At 42.5% G+C, this 20287-nt stretch overlaps 1 long non-coding RNA gene across 2 annotated transcripts in view, besides 1 other annotated feature; it reads right to left on the bottom strand.

Moving 5' to 3' along the window:
• LOC107987083 (uncharacterized) overlaps positions 1-20287 on the bottom strand; it is a 122361-nt gene that overhangs the window by 57576 nt on the left and 44498 nt on the right. For both annotated transcript variants that reach the window (XR_001746759.2, XR_001746760.2), the window contains exon 2: positions 198-296. This is a non-coding gene — a long non-coding RNA (uncharacterized LOC107987083). The remainder of the gene's footprint in view (positions 1-197; positions 297-20287) is intronic.
• Positions 11866-12365: an enhancer, noted in NCBI's record as "H3K4me1 hESC enhancer chr9:81024941-81025440 (GRCh37/hg19 assembly coordinates)". NCBI's record gives its function as "activates a minimal SCP1, AML or CMV promoter by ChIP-STARR-seq in primed H9 embryonic stem cells {active_cell/tissue: H9 hESC(primed)}" and the evidence as "EXISTENCE:reporter gene assay evidence [ECO:0000049][PMID:30033119]".

Genomic DNA, 20287 nt, shown 5'->3' with positions numbered 1-20287 from the left:
GAGCCACTCCTTGGAGGAATCTCCCAGACTGACGGCCAACATTAGGTAAAAATAAATAAATAAATGTTTATGTTTTAAAGATACTTAAACCCTGCATTGATTGTCATAACGACACAACTAGCCTACCTTGACTCACGCAAGGGCATACTCTAGGTCAGGCTCTGTGCTGGGCACTGTGTGTCCATTATCTCACTTACTCTTCAAAACAATCTGATGAGATGGAGTCCATGATGATTCCACTTCATTGATGAAGAAACACAGCAAGGTTCAGTAACTCGTCCAAGATCACACAGCAACTAAATGATGGAAGCAGAATTAAAACCAAGGCTTGACATCAAAACTTGCATCAGAACCACCATATTGCTACTGTGGAATACATAAGAGAAAAAAATAAAGAAGCCAAAGCTGATCTATATAATATAAAGCTGAATCAGGAGAAGGAGAGAAGAGAGAAAACAAGAGAATCTTAAGGACTGGAGTTGAGAGAAAAATTTGAGGATTAGAAGGAAAAGAAGTCACCTTCGAGAAAAGACCTAAGGCATCATCTCCCAAAATAACATTCAACAATTTAACTATACAAGGAGAAGTATCTCCGGGGTTAAAAAATACATACACACACACACACACACACACACACACACACACACATGCACACACACACACAAATGCATAAACTAGCAGTTCTCTTAACTGAATTACATCTATGTAAATGGAGAATATCACAATTACAAGGAATATGGAAAACTTTGCCTATTATAAATGCTAAGAACAGCAGTTCATGCCTGTAATCCCAGCACTTTGGGAGGCCAAGGCAGGTGGATCACTTGAGGCCAGGAGTTCAAGACCAACCTGGGCAACATGGCAAAACCCCATCTCTACAAAAATATGCAAATTAGCCAGGCATGTTGGTGTGCATCTGTAGTCCCAGCTGCTCTGGAGGCTGAGGGATGGCTTGAGCCCTGGAGGTGGAGGTTGCAGTGAGCTGAAATCATGCCACTGCACTCCAGCCTGGGTGACAGAATGAGACTTTGATTCAAAAAAAAAAAAAACGGCTAAGAACCATTACCTATTTTATCAGGTGTGAGAATGAGCCACTTTTCCCCACAAAATATTTCACTTCCAATGACTATCCAAATGCAAATCTTTATAGAACTTCGATAGAAATTTCAGAAAATTTTTATTTTTTGTTTAGAATGTAACCTGACTTACTGTCCCATCTGATGGTAAATTAAAGAACCCATAGCAATAATATTGAAACAGAGTGATCATGACATGCCTGAATATGTCAACACATGTGTTGCCACTTTTAAGAAATTCTTTCAAGCTGGCCAGGAGCAGTGGCTCATACCTGTACTCCCAGCACTTCGGGAGGCTGAGGTGGATGGATCACTTGAGGTCAGAAGTTCAAGACCACCCTAACCAACATGGTGAAATCCTGTCTTTACTAAAGATACCAAAATTAGCCAGGCATGGTGACACACGCCTCTAATCCCAGCTACCTGGGAGGCTGAGGCAGAAGAATCACTTGAACTCAGGAGGCGGAGGTTGCAGTGAGCTGAGATCGCGCCACTGCACTCCAGCCTGGGCAACAGAGTGAGACTCTGTCTTAAAAAAAAAGAAAAAGAAAAAGAAATTCTTTCAAGATGTGATTATAAATATATAGCCCCAGAAGTTAATAGAAACATATATCTAAATCTAAAATTTCAATCAGTAAGCATGAAGATGATTCTTCAGTAAATATTCACATTTCCTAACAATGTTAGAAAATATCTACACATATACATACTTATGTATATAATACTTTATTATGCTTTAAGGAAATTCAATTGGAAGAATCAAATCAATATACCAGGTCTTAATATTTTCAAAGTTTAACTCCTCCTGAATACTGACCATGAAAAGATCTATTTTGACACAAAACTATGAGTCTGCTTTAGAATTTACGGAATTGTGTTTTAATTCCTTAACTTGTCACAGTTTCAGAATCCACTCACCTTCCCCTCCTGTATTTTCATTCCTGGTTTTAATTGCCTTCTCTTTCTGGCCTATAGTTTTCATGCTTTTTTAGTCAGACTTGGGGCTGAACTTCAGCAAAGGACAAAGCCTTCCACTAGAAAAGAAAGGGGTTAGCTGTGCCTCTAACCACATACATAAATGCCCTAAGGAATAAACAAACAAAAACTCAAAGTGGGCTGTCACTGATGAGACAGTTACAGAAGGCTATGTCCATTGTGTGCAAACACTCTAAAATAATTCCAAACTTCTTGATGTCTCACATATTGTTACCTCTTTTTAGTAATTGAAAACACAAACAAAAAAAAAGATAAATAACAGGTGCTGGAGAGGATGTGGAGAAATAGGAACACTTTTACACTGTTGGTGGGACTGTAAACTAGTTCAACCATTGTGAAAGTCAGTGTGGCAATTCCTCAGGGATCTTGAACTAGAAATACCATTTGACCCAGCAATCACATTACTGGGTATGTACCCAAAGGATTATAAATCATGCTGCTATAAAGACACATGCACACGTATGTTTATTGTGGCACTATTCACAATAACAAAGACTTGGAACCAAGCCAAATGTCCAACAATGATTGACTGGATTAAGAAAATGTGGCACATATACACCATGGAATACTATGCAGCCATAAAAAATGATGAGTTCATGTCCTTTGTAGGGACATGGATGAAGCTGGAAACCATCATTCTCAGCAAACTATCGCAAGGACAAAAAACGAAACACCACATGTTTTCACTCATAGGTGGGAATTGAACAATGAGAACACATGGACACAGGAAGGGGAACATCACACACCGGGGCCTGTTGTGGGGTGGGGTGGGGAGGGATAGCATTAGGAGATATACCTAATGTTAAATGACGAGTTAATGGGTGCAGCACACCAACATGGCACATGTATACACATGTAACTAACCTGCACGTTGGGCACATGCACCCTAAAACTTAAAGTATAATAAAAGAAAAAAGATAAATATGGGAGGTTGGAGAAAATCCAGTAGAGAACAAAATCCCATCCATCCTCCTTTGCCACTTCTCTCCCATGCACGATTGTCACTCTGATTTGATCATTCAGGGATTCCCCAACTGACCACACCAGCGTTTATTCCCACGCTTTTGCAAATGCTCTTCCCCCAACTCCTCTTCCTATACAGATCTTACATATCCATTAGAGCCCAATTTAAGTACCACCTCCACCAAAGAGCCCCCAAGAAAGTTCAACACACTGGGGTCTTTCTTCCTCTCAATTTCCATTGCTCCAATCTTCTTCTATGACACACTTAGAAATGCTTACAAAACAAACCCATCCTATGTGATTAGTCTCATTCCTCCATCAAGAGAATATTTCTTTTTTTTCTTTTTTTTTCTTTTTTGAGACAGTCTCACTCTGTTGCCCAGGCTGGAGTGCAGTGGCATGATTTCAGCTCACTGCAACCTCTGCCTCCTGGGTTCAAGCAATTCTCCTGCCTTAGCCTCCCAAGTAGCTGGGATGACAGGCACGTGCCACCATGCCTAATTTTTGTATTTTTAGTAGAGACAGGGTTTCCCCATGTTGACCAGGCTGGTCTCAAACTCCTGACCTCAGGTGATCCAGCTGCCTCAGCCTCCCAAAATGCTGGGATTACAGGCTTCAGCTACCACACCCGGTTCAGAGTACTTCTTAGAGCCATCTCTCCTACATCAGTTTTATTCCCCAGCATACCTAGCATAATATTGATCACATAGAAAGGGTTCAGTTTAAATACATTGTTTGGATAATTATGTGAAATAATGGAATATTGAAAATGGAAGGACAAAAACAGAAATTTTGGGATTAAAATCCAGTTTCCTCAACACAAGCAAATATCAATCTTAATTGTGACAAACCCACCCCTAATGACGTAATTATTTAAGAACTCATAAATGAATAAGTTCCACTGCTTCTAGAAGGAGACAAAAGGTTACAGACTTGAACTTTGGCAGTGACCTACTAACCTGTTCTATCATTCTCTAGAACAATGTGGACTGGAAAAAGCAGCTTAAAATTCATGAATTACTTTATGAAGAGACTTGTATGGAAACAAGGGCTCCACAGTTGTAGTAATATCGATTCTCTAGAACATTTAGCTTTGGTAGTAAGCTTTTGTCCATTAAGCAGCACTCACTGCTGAGCATGTCAGACAAAAATTCTGAGACCCCAACATTAATGCACTTTCATGAGAAAATTTGAAATTCAGTTTAGTTGAAGTTCAGTTCGGTTCCTCAAACACTGAAAAGAAGCTGAAAATCTAATGATATGGCAACAGGTAACTTAAAAATAGTGGACACTGTAGATAACTTTCTTCCCATCACTCCCCCACTGTTTAGCAAGGAATATTGCTTGGGAAGAATTTCCCCCAGCCCCAATATAAGCCAAATTGCATCAGCTCATCCCCCATCCCCCAACCCCTAACCCCTTGCTATAGTGATTCTGTTAGCTGTGGGCAAAAACGCTGTTAATCAGTTCATGGCAATCCCTGGCTACGATGACTGGTTTCAGTTAGTCCAGTCAACATGAAAGCAGAGCTTTTGTTTGATAGTTTGGGGAAAAGATCTCTGGAAAGTTCAGTGCTACAAACTGAATTGTATCCCTCCAAAATTCATGGTGGTATTTTGGAGATGGGGACTTTTGGAGTTAATCAGGTTTAGAAGAGGTCATGAGGGTAGGGTCCCCATGATGGTAGGGTCCCCATGATGGGATTAGTGCCCTTTATAGCAGAGTTTGCTTCCTCTCTCCTTCACTCACATGCACCAAGGAAAGACCATTTGAGGGCATAGCAAGGTGCCATCTGCAACAAAAAGAGAGCCCTCGCCAGACGTCGACCCTGCTAGCACCCTGATCTTGGACTTCCAGCCTCCAGAACTCTGAGAAATAAACTCCAGTTGTTTAAACCACCCAGTCTGTGGTATTTTGTTATTACAGCCCAAGGTGCCTATGACATCTTGTATGTAGGTTGTATGATGGTGTGAAGCCTGAAACAGGAACAGCCATTTATATCCTCTGAAGAACACCAGCCTGAAGATAGAGCCTTCTAGAGAAGGGCAAGCTCCCAGGGAAACAGAAACCATGCCCTAAAGATATCACACCTAATCTCACTTAAAGTTTGGGTTTCTTTCACATGCAAATAAAATCTCCTTGTTTGTAGAAATTACAAACGCGTAAGAATAAATTCTAAAAGTGAGTAAGGAAACACAAAAGCAGATTGAATTTTGAAAGCAGGGAGATTGGTGGGTTTTCTCTTTTATTTGAAAATTGGATTACATTCATTAAGGCTTTACAGAGGATCAGGCATATGCATTATCTCATTTAATCTCCATTTTGCAAAGAGAAAACAACAAATGTTTTATTATTGTTTGTTCTAAAAACAAAAACTTACACAACTGTAATTGAACTGTTAAAAAGATTAATTTATCTGCTCCTGGAAACCATCCTCCTACAGAATGTAGCAGTACAAACATTGCTTGGTACAAAAGAATCACTCTCTACAATACTTGAATGGCAAGTGGACAATCTTTTTTTTTTTTTTTTTTTTGAGACAGAGTCCGGCTCTGTCACCCAGGCTGGAGTGCAGTGGCGCAATCTTGGCTCACTGCAACCTCTGCCTCCCAGGTTCAAGTGACTCTCCTGCCTCAGCCTCCTGAGTAGCTGGGATTACAGGCATGTGCTACCACGCCCAGCTAATTTTTTGTATTTTTAGTAGAGATGGGGTTTCACTGTGTTAGCCAGGATGGTCTCAATCTCCTGACCTCATGATCCACCTGTCTCCGCCTCCCAAAGTGCTGGGATTACAGACGTGAGCCACCACGCCTGGCCAAAAGTGTACAATCTTTTACCCAAATGAGTTTACAAATGAAAGATAGCTCCAGCTGACCCCAACATAAAAATTATTTAATCTTGCCCTCTATTACAGTAGCATTAATATAGTCCACAGATAAGATGACCACAATACTAGGGACATAGTAGGGATTCAATAAATATTGAATTTTATGAATTCTTAATCTTTTACAAGGTGTCGTTCCATTAATAGTGTTTATTCAAATGCTTCTGTTGAAAGTTTCAGTTTGAACATGACAGCATGCAAATGCTAGCAATTATACTTGACTGAACAATTCAGATCAAACTGGCATCTTATAACTTCAAATGTTGTGCTATATAACTTCTATTTTCCACTGTAAATCCATTCTCCACTTTCTCCACCCTGCTGACTATTATGGACTCCATTGACAGCCTTCCAGTTGAGTTTGATCAATGCAAAAGCCAGATAACAGAAAGAGAGACAAAGTCAGGGTATTTATTCCAATGACTTCTCCCCGGAAAGTGACCACAGGCTGGCTGCCTCCTGTCATCCACCTGTTCCATACAGCCTAGCCTATATCCAGATTCCAGGAGCCACTATCTCCACTCGCCCCTTCAGCCCTGGGGGTAGTAACAGACTCCCACGTCACTGCACTCTCTGTAGCTCTAGCATACTGCACAATCACTTGCGATTCTGCTCTACACCTACATAAATAATCTCTTTATTAAATTCACTACAAATTATCCATTTATGATATAACTTTTGATTCTGCGAGGACCACAACTGATTCTGTAACACAACTTGAGATCAGGAAAAATACAGGTGCTCTTTTAGCAAAATAAGACCTAAAAGTTATACAATTTTGAGAGATATGTCTCAGGCTGACACAGTGACAAGGTATTAAGTCTTACAGTAGAGACATCTAATTATTATTTAGATCACCATAGAAACCAAAAAGAGAAAAAAAAATTAGAGAAAAAAAAAATTAAGTCACTTTTCCAGTTAAAAGCTACCTTGACTTCTTTTCTCCCCTCCATCCTCCTCATGATTCTATTTCCTCCTACCTAGAAGTGAAAATGAGTATGGAGGACAGAAAATGAATATGGGGGACAGAAAACTGATTTATATACAACTTTGGGCTGGGCATGGTGGCTTATGCCTGTAATCCCAGCACTTTGGGAGGCAGAGGCAGGCAGATCACCTGAGGTCAGGAGTTTGAGACCAGCCTGGCCAATCTCTTTATTAAATTCACTACAAATTATCCATTTATGGTATAACATTTGATTCTGCCAGGACCACAACTGATTCTGTAATACAACTTGAGATCAGGAAAAATATAGGTGCTCTCTTAGCAAAATAAGACTTAAAAGTTATACAATTATGAGAGATATGTCTCATGGTGAAACCCCATCTCTACTAAAAATACAAAGATTAGCTGGGCATGGTGGCAGGCACCTGTAATCCCAGCTACTTGGGAGGCTGAGGCAGGAGAATCACTTGAACCAGGGAGGCAGAGGTTGCAGTGAGCCAAGACTGTGCCATTGCACTCCAGCCTGGGTAACAAGAGTGAAACTGTCTCAAAAAATATGTATATGTGTGTGTGTGTGTGTGTGTGTGTGTGTGTGTGTGTGTGTATCTATATACACATCTTTTGTAGACCAAAAGGTGGAGGAATCTGGGGGAAAGCCAAAGCTTAGAAACTGAAAGGAAGTGGTAACGTCAGGGGAAGGGAAAGTATTCAAAGGAACCACCTCTGAGGTTAAAGGTCATAGACCATGAGAAAGAGAAGGTGTGTCTATGATGAACACCCACCACTGGCTGCAGGAGCCTCCATGTGGAGACGCCCTGATACCAAAGCATCATGGTTGGATGTGCAGTTCCACCATACACCACGCTGCCCAGCTGGAAAGCCACAGACAGCAATCCTGCTAAAGGCCTGGCCATTCAGATCCTACACTCCCACGCCAGATGTTGGTATGTTAGCTAGACCAGATGCTCTGCCCTACTTTTCATTTGAAAGTGTCTGTCATTTGGGTTATACCATAATGAAGAATAGATTGAACTCTTGTTGGGGTTCTGTGTGTGTGTGCCTCAGCTTACTTCCAATCAAAAGGCTAGCAAGATTCCTTCACAATAGTAACAAACAGGGAAAGAGGGTTGCCATCGAGCTGCCCAGCAATGTGGTTGGGGTCTGTGTGCATACCTAATTTGAATTGCTTGCCAACCTAAAAATCTAGATCAGCCAGGCGCAGTAGCTCACGCCTGTAATCAACACTTTGGGAAGCTGAGCTGAGCGGTCACAAGGTCAGGAGTTCAAGACCAGCCTGGCCAACATGGTAAAACCCCATCTCTACTAAAAATACAAAAATTAGCCAGGCATGGTGGGGCACGCCTGTAATCCCAGCTACTCAGGAGGCTGAGGCAGCAGAATTGTTTGAACCCGGGAGGCAGAGGTTGCAGTGAGCCAAGATCGCACCATTGCACTCCAGCCTGGGCAACAGGGCGAGACTCCATCTCAAAAAAAAAAAAAAAATCTAGATCTCTTTCTTTTGAAAAAACTCATAAGAACTGGCAACACTGGGTCCTCATTTCCAAAAAGCCACATCACTGGGGCTAAGCACCAGCCTTGCCCTTGAGACCAGGCCTGAATTCTCCAGTTGCCATTGTCTCTACTATCTGCGACACTGACATGTTTACCATCTACATCACTGACATGTTTACCATCTGCCTCACTAACATGTTTTTTTGTTTGTCTTGTTTTGAGATGGAGTCTCACTCTGTCGCCCAGGCAGATAGGTCTGGAGGAAACTCCAAACTGGAGTGCAGTGGCGCGATCTCGGCTCACTGCAATTTCCGCCTCCCAGGTTCAAGTGATTCTTCTGCCTCAGCCTCCAAAGTAGTGGGGACCACAGGCATGCACCACCATGCCTGGCTAATTTTTGTATTTTTAGTAGAGACAGGGTTGCACTATGTTGGCCAGTCTGGTCGTGAACTAACCTCAGGTGATTTGCCCACCTTAGCCTCCCAAAGTGCTGGGATTACAGGTGTGAGCCACCGCGCCCAGCCCTTCGTGACATGTTAAGCACTATTTTCCAGAACTACCTGAATGGGCAACCCTGGAAACTCAAATAATGAGTTCTTTGATCTACCTCTTCTCCTTCCACAGGGAAGAACCACAAGATGCTGGTTTTAGGTCGATACAGAGACCTTTAAGTTTTACTTTAATAAGCGATGAAAATATTTAGACCCTCATGTGTTATAGAACCAAGCTGTAGTCCGGTCTACTCACCCTGTGTGATAAATCTACATATATATATATATGCACACACACATATATACATACATATATACACACATATATATACACATATACACATATATATACACATATACACATATATATACACATATATACACATATATACACATATATACATATATACACATATATACATATATACACATATATACATATATACACATATATACATATATACACATATATACATATATACACATATATACATATATACACATATAGTATGTGTATATATGTATATATATACACACACTATATATATGTATATATATACACACACTATATATATGTATATATATACACACTATATATATGTGTATATATACACACACTATATATATGTGTATATATACACACTATATATATATATGTATATATATACACACATATATATATACACACACACTAAGGTTTTACGGCAATAGAAAGAAAAATGTTTATTTGCCGGGTGCCAAGCAAGGAGGACTAAGCAGCTAAATGCTCAAATCCTGGCCTCACCGATGGCTTTCAGGCAAGTGTTTTTAAAAGCAGAAGCTACAGGCAATATTCTAAATCAACACACGGAGATGACACATTGGTTTAGGCCTAAAGAGGCAGATTATCCCGAAGCGCAGGCTTATTGGTAGTAGGCAGATTCAAAGCTTTGCTGGTTTGCAATTGGTTAAGGAAAAGAAACTTGGTTTTAAAATTTGGGGTTCGCAGAAAAATGTTAATTGGCTATATGGGGACGATGACTTTCTCCAAACCCTTCAGGAAGAAATTTAGAATAAAAAACATGGTCAAAGTTCAGTCTTCAATTCCCTTTTATCTGAAGTCTATGCGCAGGTAGATCAGTTTGTTGGGGTCCTCAGTGGGGATCTCTGAAAGACAACTCAGGGACATGTGTTAAGATGTTGTCTTTAGTTTCTATCAGGAAGGCAAATATCTCTGGAACTCTAACTTCCTTGGCTGTTGCTTTAGGCTACTCTTCCCTTCTGGTTTAACAAATTACTTATTTACTTCTGGGGCTAGCCAGGTGCCTGGAATTTCCTTTGAAGGACCTCAGAATTGTCCTTTATTTCCAAGTGTGGAGTCCACAGGCCCCTAAAAAGGGGTTTTCTGTTCCATCTCATGATTGAGAGACAGTCTTCTTGATTACGAGAAGTGGCATCAGCTTTACTGTGACCTGATTAATAAACAGTCATTTTCCTGGGTCATAAGAAGACTCTGAAAGAAAAATGTGTTCTTTAGGTTGCATGTGCTGGCCCATGCCTGTAATCTCAGCACTTTGAGAGGCTGAGGCAGGAGGATCCCTTGAGCTAAGGAGCTTGAGACCAGCCTAGGGCACATAGAGACCTCGTCTCCACTAAAAATAAAAAATTTTAAAAAAAATTAGCCCCGTGTGGTGACACATACCTGTGGTTCCAGTTACTTGGGAGGCTGAGGTGGAAGGATTGCTTGAGCCCAGGAAATCCAGGCTGCAGTGAGCCATGATTGCACCACTGCACTCCAGCCCCGGTGACAGAGTGAGACTGTCTCAAAAGCGGGAAGAAAAGGATGCTGTTTAAATTCCATTCTGCTTCCATCTCAGAATAAGATCTAGAGAATTCCAAAAACTCCTTAACTTTAAAGTGGTACATTGTTTTATGTTTTGTTCTGTATTGAAGTCAGACTGAGTCTCTGCCCACATTCTCTCCTTCATCCCACCCCTAATCCCATCCCCTTGAAAAGCTGAGAAAATGTGCCCTTCACCCTCAGTTCAGTCCCCTCTGGTTTGAGAGGCCCAGATTTGCCTGTCTGTGAAGCTTTACCTTGAGTTTCCACTGGGCCTCTGATGGCAACAGATGAGGAGAAAAACAAGAGCTTTTCCATGTAACATGGAAATGGGTTGGAAGCCACCTTTTTGAAACTCTGTCCAGGGTAAGCAGCTGCTTTTCATACTATTGTGTCCGGAATTGGTGGGTTCTTGGTCTCACTAACTTCAAGAATGAAGCCGCGGACGCTTGCGGTGAGTGTTATAGTTCTTAAAGGCGGCATGTCCGGAGTTTGTTCCTTCTGATGTTCAGATGTGTTCGGAGTTTCTTCTTTCTGGTGGGTTCGTGGTCTCGCTGGCTCAGGAGTGAAGCTGCAGACCTTCGTGGTGAGTGTTACAGCTCTTAAAGGCAGTGTGGACCCAAAGAGTGAGCAGCAGCAAGATTTATTACAAAGAGCGAAAGAACAAAGCTTCCACAGTGTGGAAGGGGACCCGTGCGGGTTTCTACGGCTGGCTTGGGCAGCCTGCTTTTATTCTCTTATCTGGCCCCACCCACATCCTGCTGATTGGTCCATTTTGCAGAGAGTTCAGTGGTCTGTTTTGACAGGGCTCTGACTGGTGTGTTTACAATCCCTGAGCTAGACACAAAGGTTCTCCACCTCCCCACTAAATTAGCTAGATACATAGTGTCCACACAAAGGTTCTCCAAGTCCCTACCAGAGTAGCTAGATACAGAGTGTTGATTGGTGCATTCACAAACCCTGAGCTAGACACAGGGTGCTGATTGGTGTGTTTACAAACCTTGAGCTAGATACAGAGTGCTGATTGGTGTATTTACAATCCCTCAGCTAGACATAAAGGTTCTCCAAGTCCCCACCAGGGTAGCTGGATACAGAGTGCCCACTGGTGCATTCACAAACCCTGAGCTAGACACAGGGTGCTTATTGGTGTGTTTATAAACCTTGAGCTAGACACAAAGTGCTGATTGGTGTATTTACAATCCCTTAGCTAGACATAAAGGTTCTCCAAGTTCCCACCAGAGTCAGGAGCCCAGCTGGCTTCACCCAGTGGATCCCGCACTGGGGCTGCAGGTGGAGCTGCCTGCCAGTCCCTCGCCCTGCGCCCGCACTTCTCAGCCCTTGGGTGGTCAATGGGACTGGGCGCCGTGGAGCAGGTGGTGGCACTCATCGGGGAGGCTCGGGCTGCACAGGAGCCCACGGAGCCGGAGAGGCTCAGGCATGGTGGGCTGCAGGTCCCGAGCCCTGCCCCACGGGGAGGCAGCTAAGGCCAGGCAAGAAATTGAGCACAGCGCCTGTGAGCCGGCACTGCTGGGGTACCCAGTACACCCTCCGCAGCCTTTGGCCCAGGTGCTAAGCCCCTCACTGCCCGGGCCGGCAGGGCCGGCCGGCCACTCCCAGTGCGGGGCCCGCTAAGCCAACGCCCACCCAGAACTCCAGTTGGCTGGCAAGCCTCATGCGCAGCCCCAGTTCCCACTTGCACCTCTCCCTCCACACCTCCCTGCAAGCTGAGGGAGCCGGCTCCGACCTTGGCCAGCCCAGAAAGGGGCTCCCACCATGCAGCGGCGGGCTGAAGGGCTCCTCAGGTGCCGCCAAAGTGGGAGCCCAGGCAGAGGAGGCACGGAGAGCGAGCGAGGGCTGTGAGGGCTGCCAGCACGCTGTCACCTCTCACTATCATGGTGAATAGAAAAATACACAGCCTGATGAAGAGTTGGTTAACTGCTCACCCAATAGCCCTGGAAAGAGAGAGAAGAACACATGTTTAACATTTCAATCAGGCTGACAGTAAGCCCTGAAGACTTGTTTGAGGGATAAGCCTAAGGCAAGGTAGAAAACTGGAATGGGAGTATGTCAGCTTGGCAAAAAGAACTGCAAAGAAGTTGAAAGGCACTTTAGGAGGTCAGGAGCTCAGTTTCTTAAATACCATTGACTGCTAGAGCTGAGTGGGACCTGAAATCTCATCCAACCCCTATTTAAAGGTCAGGAAATGGAGCCAAGAGCCATTAAATGGTTGAGGCTGCACGCTGTCTTGTTAACCTCTGTACTCCTGCACTCAGCCCAGTGCCTGGCACAAAATCGCAGTTGGCTGACTAGATGGTTGATTGAATGAATATATGACAAAACCTGAACTGACACTCAGGACAAAGATTTTATAGTCAATGATTCCCAACTCCACTGATCATCAGAATTGCCTATGGAAGCTTTATTAGAAAGATCCCTAGACCCTACCCCAGATCTCTCAGTCAGAGTCCTCAGATAGGGAAGCCTGGTGAGGTTAGAAACCTCCTCCTCCTCCAATTCGTCCTGATGATCACCCAGATTTACAAACCGTTGCCCTGAATGATACCGCCTCTCAATATCACACATCTAAAACAGTTGGTATTTATCCTACCACATGAGATCACCACGGACAGTGATCATCCCCTTCTAGAGGGGGAATAAATGACCTCACACACCACTACTGAAAATTTTTCTAAACATAGTACATGATTTTCAGGGCAGTTGCAACTTTTAAGCCAACTTGGAATCCAAGGGAAGTGCTGATTTTAAAGCAAAGGATTCCATGCACTAAAATGGCATAGGATTAATTATCAAGGAAAAAAATACATATGGATACACAGGACCTCAGGATGAAAGCTTTGTCACACAGACTGATAATGAGACATCACATGGTCTATACAGACGGGTCCTGGTAGATGCTCTAAACAAGGATTCAGAAAATAACATAACTATATTAGAGCTTCCTTTATTGTGACAAACAGCGTATTTTTTATTCAAAGGAAAATAACTACATTTTATGTCAATAGTAAGTGTGTGTGGTTTATTTATCCCCCATTACAAAGCTTTGTCTCACAGGAGGTCTGGCATTCATCATGAGCTTGTTCAGAGCTATCTGGGATCTCCTGTGAACAAGAGAAAGAAGCTAAGCATAGGCCATAACAAATTAGAGGGTATTATGTTAACCAGACACCATTCTCAAAGAGTCATCCCAAAGATAAATGCATTTATGTTCACAAGGTTCTTGAGCTCCAAGAAAGATGTGCTGTGCATTCAGTCCTATTAGTAACTTATTTGGTTTTCATTTATGCTTATACCCACAATAATAATAATAAAAAAAAAACTGAGCAGTCTGATTCATTCACTCACTTTACATAGGGAAAGTGAATACTGGGCCCTCTCACTTTTTTAAAAGCCTATATTCGTTTGTTTAAATAAAAGGGTAGAGGGGAGAAAACCAAATAAAATCGCTTTTCATCCTTGCTTTAACCCAAATCTCTAACCTCTTGTAATTAGTACATTCCAAAAGGCAAGTCTGCAGGCAGAAAGGAATTGCTCTGTTCTGGAGGCACCATCAATAATGCCTCATATTCCAGACACCTGTAATGTGTCTCTGTCATGGCCTCTGCCTACTATAGGAACTCTGCAAAGTCCAAACACAAGTTTTTAAGTTATCCGGCCCCCTGAACTCCTGAAGGAAAGGAAAGAAAAAAGTAAGGGACTGGGAGAGACTATGGTGGGGAGGATAGCGCTAAAGCAGAAACACAAACCAATAAACACAAGTTCGGAGTCAGAGCCACCACAGAGTCTTAAACCAGGCCCGTTGTGTTTTGATCTTGCAGAAGCACATATGGTCTTCCATTAACAGGTCTCAGAGCAGTGGGCAATGTTACCATACCATATGCGCTGATTGCAGCAACAGGGCTGATTTATGTTAGTGAGTGCAAGGTTTTTTCTTCGTATTTCATCTCCTTGTTATTTCAGGAGAAATGTAAGGGTAGATTTATTCTGCCATTACAAAGAGGCTTCCTAGAGTTTGTTTAAAGTTGACAGTTTCCAGTAGAGTGAAGCAGATCTGTTTCCCACAAAAATTTGGTGAAAGCTAGATGTTCCCTCTCCCTCTCTCCCCTGAAATAAAAGCAGATTTACCCTCATCCCTACGCACATTCATCCTAGAATCACGGACAAATAGACAATGCAAGAATATTGTAGAGTCACTCTGTAAGTTTGATATTTACACGCGGCCTCTCCTCTGTAGGTATCATACTTATAAGCTATCTCTTACAGGGATATTTGCATGTGACCTCTCCTCTGTGGCTCTCTCTTCCTTCTCTACTCCTTTGCTCACCCCAAGGAGTAAATCTGGCCAGGGTTGAGTGGCTGCACAAGAGAAATCAGAAAAATCCCAAGGATATCTCCCTAGCAGTATCTAAGATCCTCCCCACTTTGGCCAATAATTTCCCAGTAGTACAATCAAAATGGGTCAAAAGGAAAATGAAAGCCAAGAGTGAGGCAGGGTTTGGCCAATGCTAGTACACAAAGATAAAGGATATTGCTTGTGAAATGTGCAAACAAGATGTCAAGAGCTGCCGCCACATGCCCCACAGGGTTCAGTCACCTCTACTTCTCTGAGCGTAGAAACTGATTCATCTTGGGTGGCTCTGTGCCTGAGTTCCACTTGTGTCACAACCTTATATCTGAAGCCCAGCCAACCAGCACACTCCTACAGTACCTAACAGCATAAAACTTCACTGCCCTCCAATGCACTTCTCCAAAATTCCCTTTCATTATTAAATCTCCAGGAGGGAAGCATTCTAATAACTAATTGAGCCCCAAGGTTGAATGACTAACAGCCATTCTAAAGCTAGTCTCCATTTCAAAGTGGACAGTCGATAATAAGAATGGATTGCTAATTGATAAAAGGCCAAAGGTGAGATAAAAGGGAAAGAATCTTTTTAGGCATTGTGGGAAAGACTCATTTTTAGACTACTGTATAAATTTTATCAGACTGTCTTCACCTCCTAGAAATACCCCCACTTACCTCTCTCTTTTCCTTATTACCCTTTTCTAAAAGCTCGGGAATGGGATGCAGCTCTGAATTAGCAACAAAGTCAAGGGTGCTGATCACCCTTGACTTTTGACAAGTCTTTGTTTAGCTAACAAATCTCATTGCCTTACAATAGAAAATAGCATTCCCTTTCCCTCATCTACCTCTCTTTGAAATTAGGGAAGTTATTTAAAGAATCATTGTTTTCCAAGTCACCACCAAAATTTTTACTGAAAATGTAATGCATAGTTGCAGGGGTATTTGTTACATTTCAAGTCAGAACTAAAGCCTAGATGTTGATTTTGTTGCAATAAGACTGTGGTTTTATTTAAAGGGTGCCAGAAAGGACTACATTTTTTGACTTTGTGGTTTTTTTTGTGGCTTCAGTTAAAATCTACATTAGGAAACTTATCCAAAGGATGTTAAGAAATATTATATGGGATCTTCTGTCTTAATCTGGCCTAGGTTTTTTAACTCCGACCCTTTGATTGCTCCATTCTGAACCCACCTCTTTTATATAACAAGTATCCTGCAAAGCAAAATAAAGTGTTTAAAAACACGTGTTGTGAAGAAGTTACAATAACAGCTTTAGATTCAGACTCAAATTCAATATTGGGCTGTCATTTGATATCTGTGTGATTTAGAGTAGTTACTAACACTCTAAGTTTTAGTTTTCTCATCTGTAAATTGGGTTTACTAACACCTATGTTATGATGTGTGGAAAGGATTCAATGAGATAAAGTCTGAAGACACTTAGCAAAGTAACCAGCACATCCTGAGTGCTCAGTATAAATTAATTATTGTGGGGGGCTGGGATTGTAGCTATTGACACAGCCCATTCTCCCAACATTGAACTCCACTAGTGTGTAGAAAAGCATCGTGGCTGACTTCTCTTTGTCCCTTACCACAGGACCATGCACAGAGTGGATATACAATAAACACTTGCCAAATTGAGTAGCCAGCATAGTGGACACAGTTAATTAAGTCATTCAACAAGTACCTATTGCAGGCACCTGTTGCAGGGAATATCTTAACTCAGGATATACTTAGGATATAAAACTGCGATGAAAGGAGAAATTCTCTGCTTCTGTCGAAGTTACATTTTAGTGGTGAGAGGCAGATAAACAACAAGTAAACTAATAGATGATATATTTCAAATCATGTGGCAATATGAACTATTACTTGTTAAAGAGAATTACAGAATGGAGAATGACTTGGGGTGGGGAGCAACTTCATGTAGATTCATTTAAGAAATCATCTTTAAGGCCAGGCACGGTGGCTCACGCCTGTAATCCCAGCACTTTGGGAGGCCAAGGCAGGTGGATCACGAGGTCAGGAGATGGAGACCATCCTGGCTAACACAGTGAAACTCCGTCTCTACTAAAAATACAAAAAATTAGCCGGGCATGGTGGTGGGCGCCTGTGGTCCCAGCTACATGGGAGGCTGAGGCAGGAAAATGGCATGAACCCGGGAAGCAGAGCTTGCAGTGAGCCGAGATCACGCCACTGCACTCCAGCCTGGGAGATAGAGCAAGACTCCGTCTCAAAAAAAAATCATCTTTGAAGAAGTAATGTTACATCTAAGAACTGGATGTTAAAAAGGGGTTAACCAATCCCAGCACTTTGGGAGACTGAGGTGGGCAGATCACAAGGTCAGGAGTTTGAGACCAGCCTGACCAACATGGTGAAACCCCATCTCTACTAAAAATCCAAAACTTAGCTGGGCATGGTGGTGCATGCCTGTAATCCCAGCTATTCAGGAGGCTGAGGCAGGAAAATCGCTTGAACCTGGGAGGCAGAGGTTGCAGTGAGCCGAGATCACGCCATTGCACTCCAACCTGGGCAACAGAGCGACACTCCATCTCAAAAAAAAAAAAAAAAAAAACCACACACACACACAAAGGAAAAAAGGAGTTAACCATGTAGTGGGAGAGGGTCCTGGGCAGCAAGTACATAAACTGAGAGTCAGGTACAAGCTTTTAGTATTTAAATACCAGAAAAGCCACCAGTATGACTAAAGCAGAGTGAGTAAGATGGTAGGGGATGGGTCGGGGGCTGGCAAGCAGAACCAACAACAGCGGCTAAAGTAAGCTAGGGTAAATAGTTTGGATTTTCTTCTAATTATGATAAGAAGGCATCAGAAGGTTTTAAATAGCTTCTCAGGAAAGATGCCTGCTTGGTGGATGATTATGTGATGGAACAAGTGAGGCTATTCTGGCTCCTGCATAATTATTTCACGCTAATATAACATGCAAGATTGTCAAAGCAACCAGGTACCTCTGTGGCTGACATTTGGAGTTGTTGTATCTCAGAAACGTATTGCCTCAATTAGAAAGAAAAAAAATCAGGACTTGCTTATAATTCTAGAGAACAGAAAATTAGATCAAACCTATCAATTCATTCAATGGAAGAAGGCTATAAAGATTTAAGGGGGTGAGGTGGGAATCTTTCATTGAATCCCAAATGCCTTCTGAATCAGAAAAATTATAAACTCTTACCTCTATAAGCAACTGCTTTTCTCTCCTTTGTATTAGAATTAAAATACCATATTTATTAGCATTTATACCCTAATCTCCAGGAAGGTAATATAAGCCTCAATAACTCATAAAAATTCCTGGGAAAGAGAATGTGCCATAGCAATGCCAGATCGTTCAGTATATTATCAGGAAAACAGAAGCCATTCTACGTATTTCAAACAGAAGGAATTTGATACAGGAAACAGAAAAATCTGGTCAGGTGCGGTGGCTCACGCCTGTAATCCCAGCACTTTGGGAGGCCCAGGTGGGCAGATCACCTGAGGTCAGGAGTTCAATACCAGCCTAGCCAACAGGGTGAAACCCCGTCTCTACTAAAAATACAAAATACACCTGTAATCCCAGCTACTCAGGAGGCTGAGGCAGGAGAATTGCTTGAACCTGGGAGGCGGAGGTTGCAGTGAGCTGAGATCATGCCACTGCACTTCATCCTGGGTGACAGAGTGAGACTCCATCTCAAAAAAAAAAAAAAAAAAAGGAAGTAGAAAAATCTGGGAAGAGCAGGCAGATGAAAAAGGAAAAAGGTGAACTTAGCCAGAAGCTAGCAATTGCAAGAAGCTGCTCCCATACCCAGAACTGGAGCAACAAAAGGGAACGTGTAACTTAGAATCCATGATCTCTATGCCACTGAGGTTGGAAAGCACCCATTGCTGGTGCTGTTGGAACCACAGCCATGGTTGCTTTTGCAGGACGTCTGGAGCCTAAAGTTGCCCAAAGTAGTCATTGTTGCTGCTGGAGCCAAAGTCCACAGGTGCTTGGTGGCTGAGGCTTCTAGGGCATGTACTCCCTGGGCAGGAAGCTGGGAGTCAAGACTTGCCTTCCATCACTGCTGCCTCTGCTGCACTTACTTCTAGAAGCACCGAAAATATCTTCCTCCTTCCTCCTAATCTCCTGCCAGTGCCTCCCATTTGCAGAAGATAGCTAGAAGCTATCTGGCAAGAATGTTTCAGAAATATAGTTTGCAGACTTCTAACCTCTACCCCAAACCCACCCCCAGGAACACACAGAAGAAAACAAAAGGACAGGAAAGGGGCCAAGAGCCAACAAAGAGCACATCTTTTCCTCAGATTTCTACTGTTAGAAATCTTAGGAAACCGCTAGGCATGGTAGCTCATGCCTATAATCCCAGCACTTTGGGAGGCCAAGGCGGGAGGATCACTTGAGTCCTGGAGTTCAAGACCAGACTGGGCAACTTTGTGAGATCCCATCTCCATAAAAAATTTTTTAAAAAAATTAGCTGGGCATGGTGATGCATGCCTGTAGTCCCAGCTACTTGAGGGGCCAAGGTGGGAGGATTGCTTGAGCTTGGGAGTTTGAGGCTGCAGTGAGCCATGATTACACTACTGCACTCCAACCTGGGTGGCAGAGCTGAAAAAATAAAAAGCAGCAGCAGCACTGGCAAACCAAGCTAAATAAAAGCTGCCTGGAGATGTTCTGAAAAGTGTTTGGGACTAAATAGAAGAAAAGAGACAATCCAAACATCCAAGGAAGCAGGAACAGAAGCTCATGAAACAAGCAACAACTTTAGTGCTTCTTTAGCATCCTATCATCGTCTTAAGCTACCTTCCTTTACCAACCAATCTATTGTCAAGAAACCAAACAAGCCTCATCCACTGTAAAGTATAAGTGATTGATAATGGCTTCATGAACAACCAATATGGTAGACAAAAGAAATTTAGGAGTGACATCAACCAAAGTCATTTTTAATAAATAATTCTTAAGATGTTCTATAAGCAAGAAAATAAACTCCTGTCCTTTAGTTCACATAATCTAAAGAGGCAAATATATGGTTCAAATAAATAAAATGCCATGTGGAAGATATGTAAGAGATAAGTACAAAAGAATAGTAGTGTGAAAACTGATCTAAAGCAGAGTTTATCAAAGTCAGCACTACTGGAATTTTAGACCAGATAATTCTTTGTTGTGAGGTGCTGTCCTGGACACTGAAGGATGTTTAGAACCATCCCTGGCCATTAGCACCCCCAACTTGTGACAACCAGAAATTTCTCCAGACATTGCCAAATG

The sequence above is a fragment of the Homo sapiens genome, chromosome 9 (genome assembly GCF_000001405.40).
Source record: "Homo sapiens chromosome 9, GRCh38.p14 Primary Assembly".
NCBI classification, from domain to species: domain Eukaryota; kingdom Metazoa; phylum Chordata; class Mammalia; order Primates; family Hominidae; genus Homo; species Homo sapiens.
This window is presented reverse-complemented; position numbering and strand designations above follow the sequence as displayed.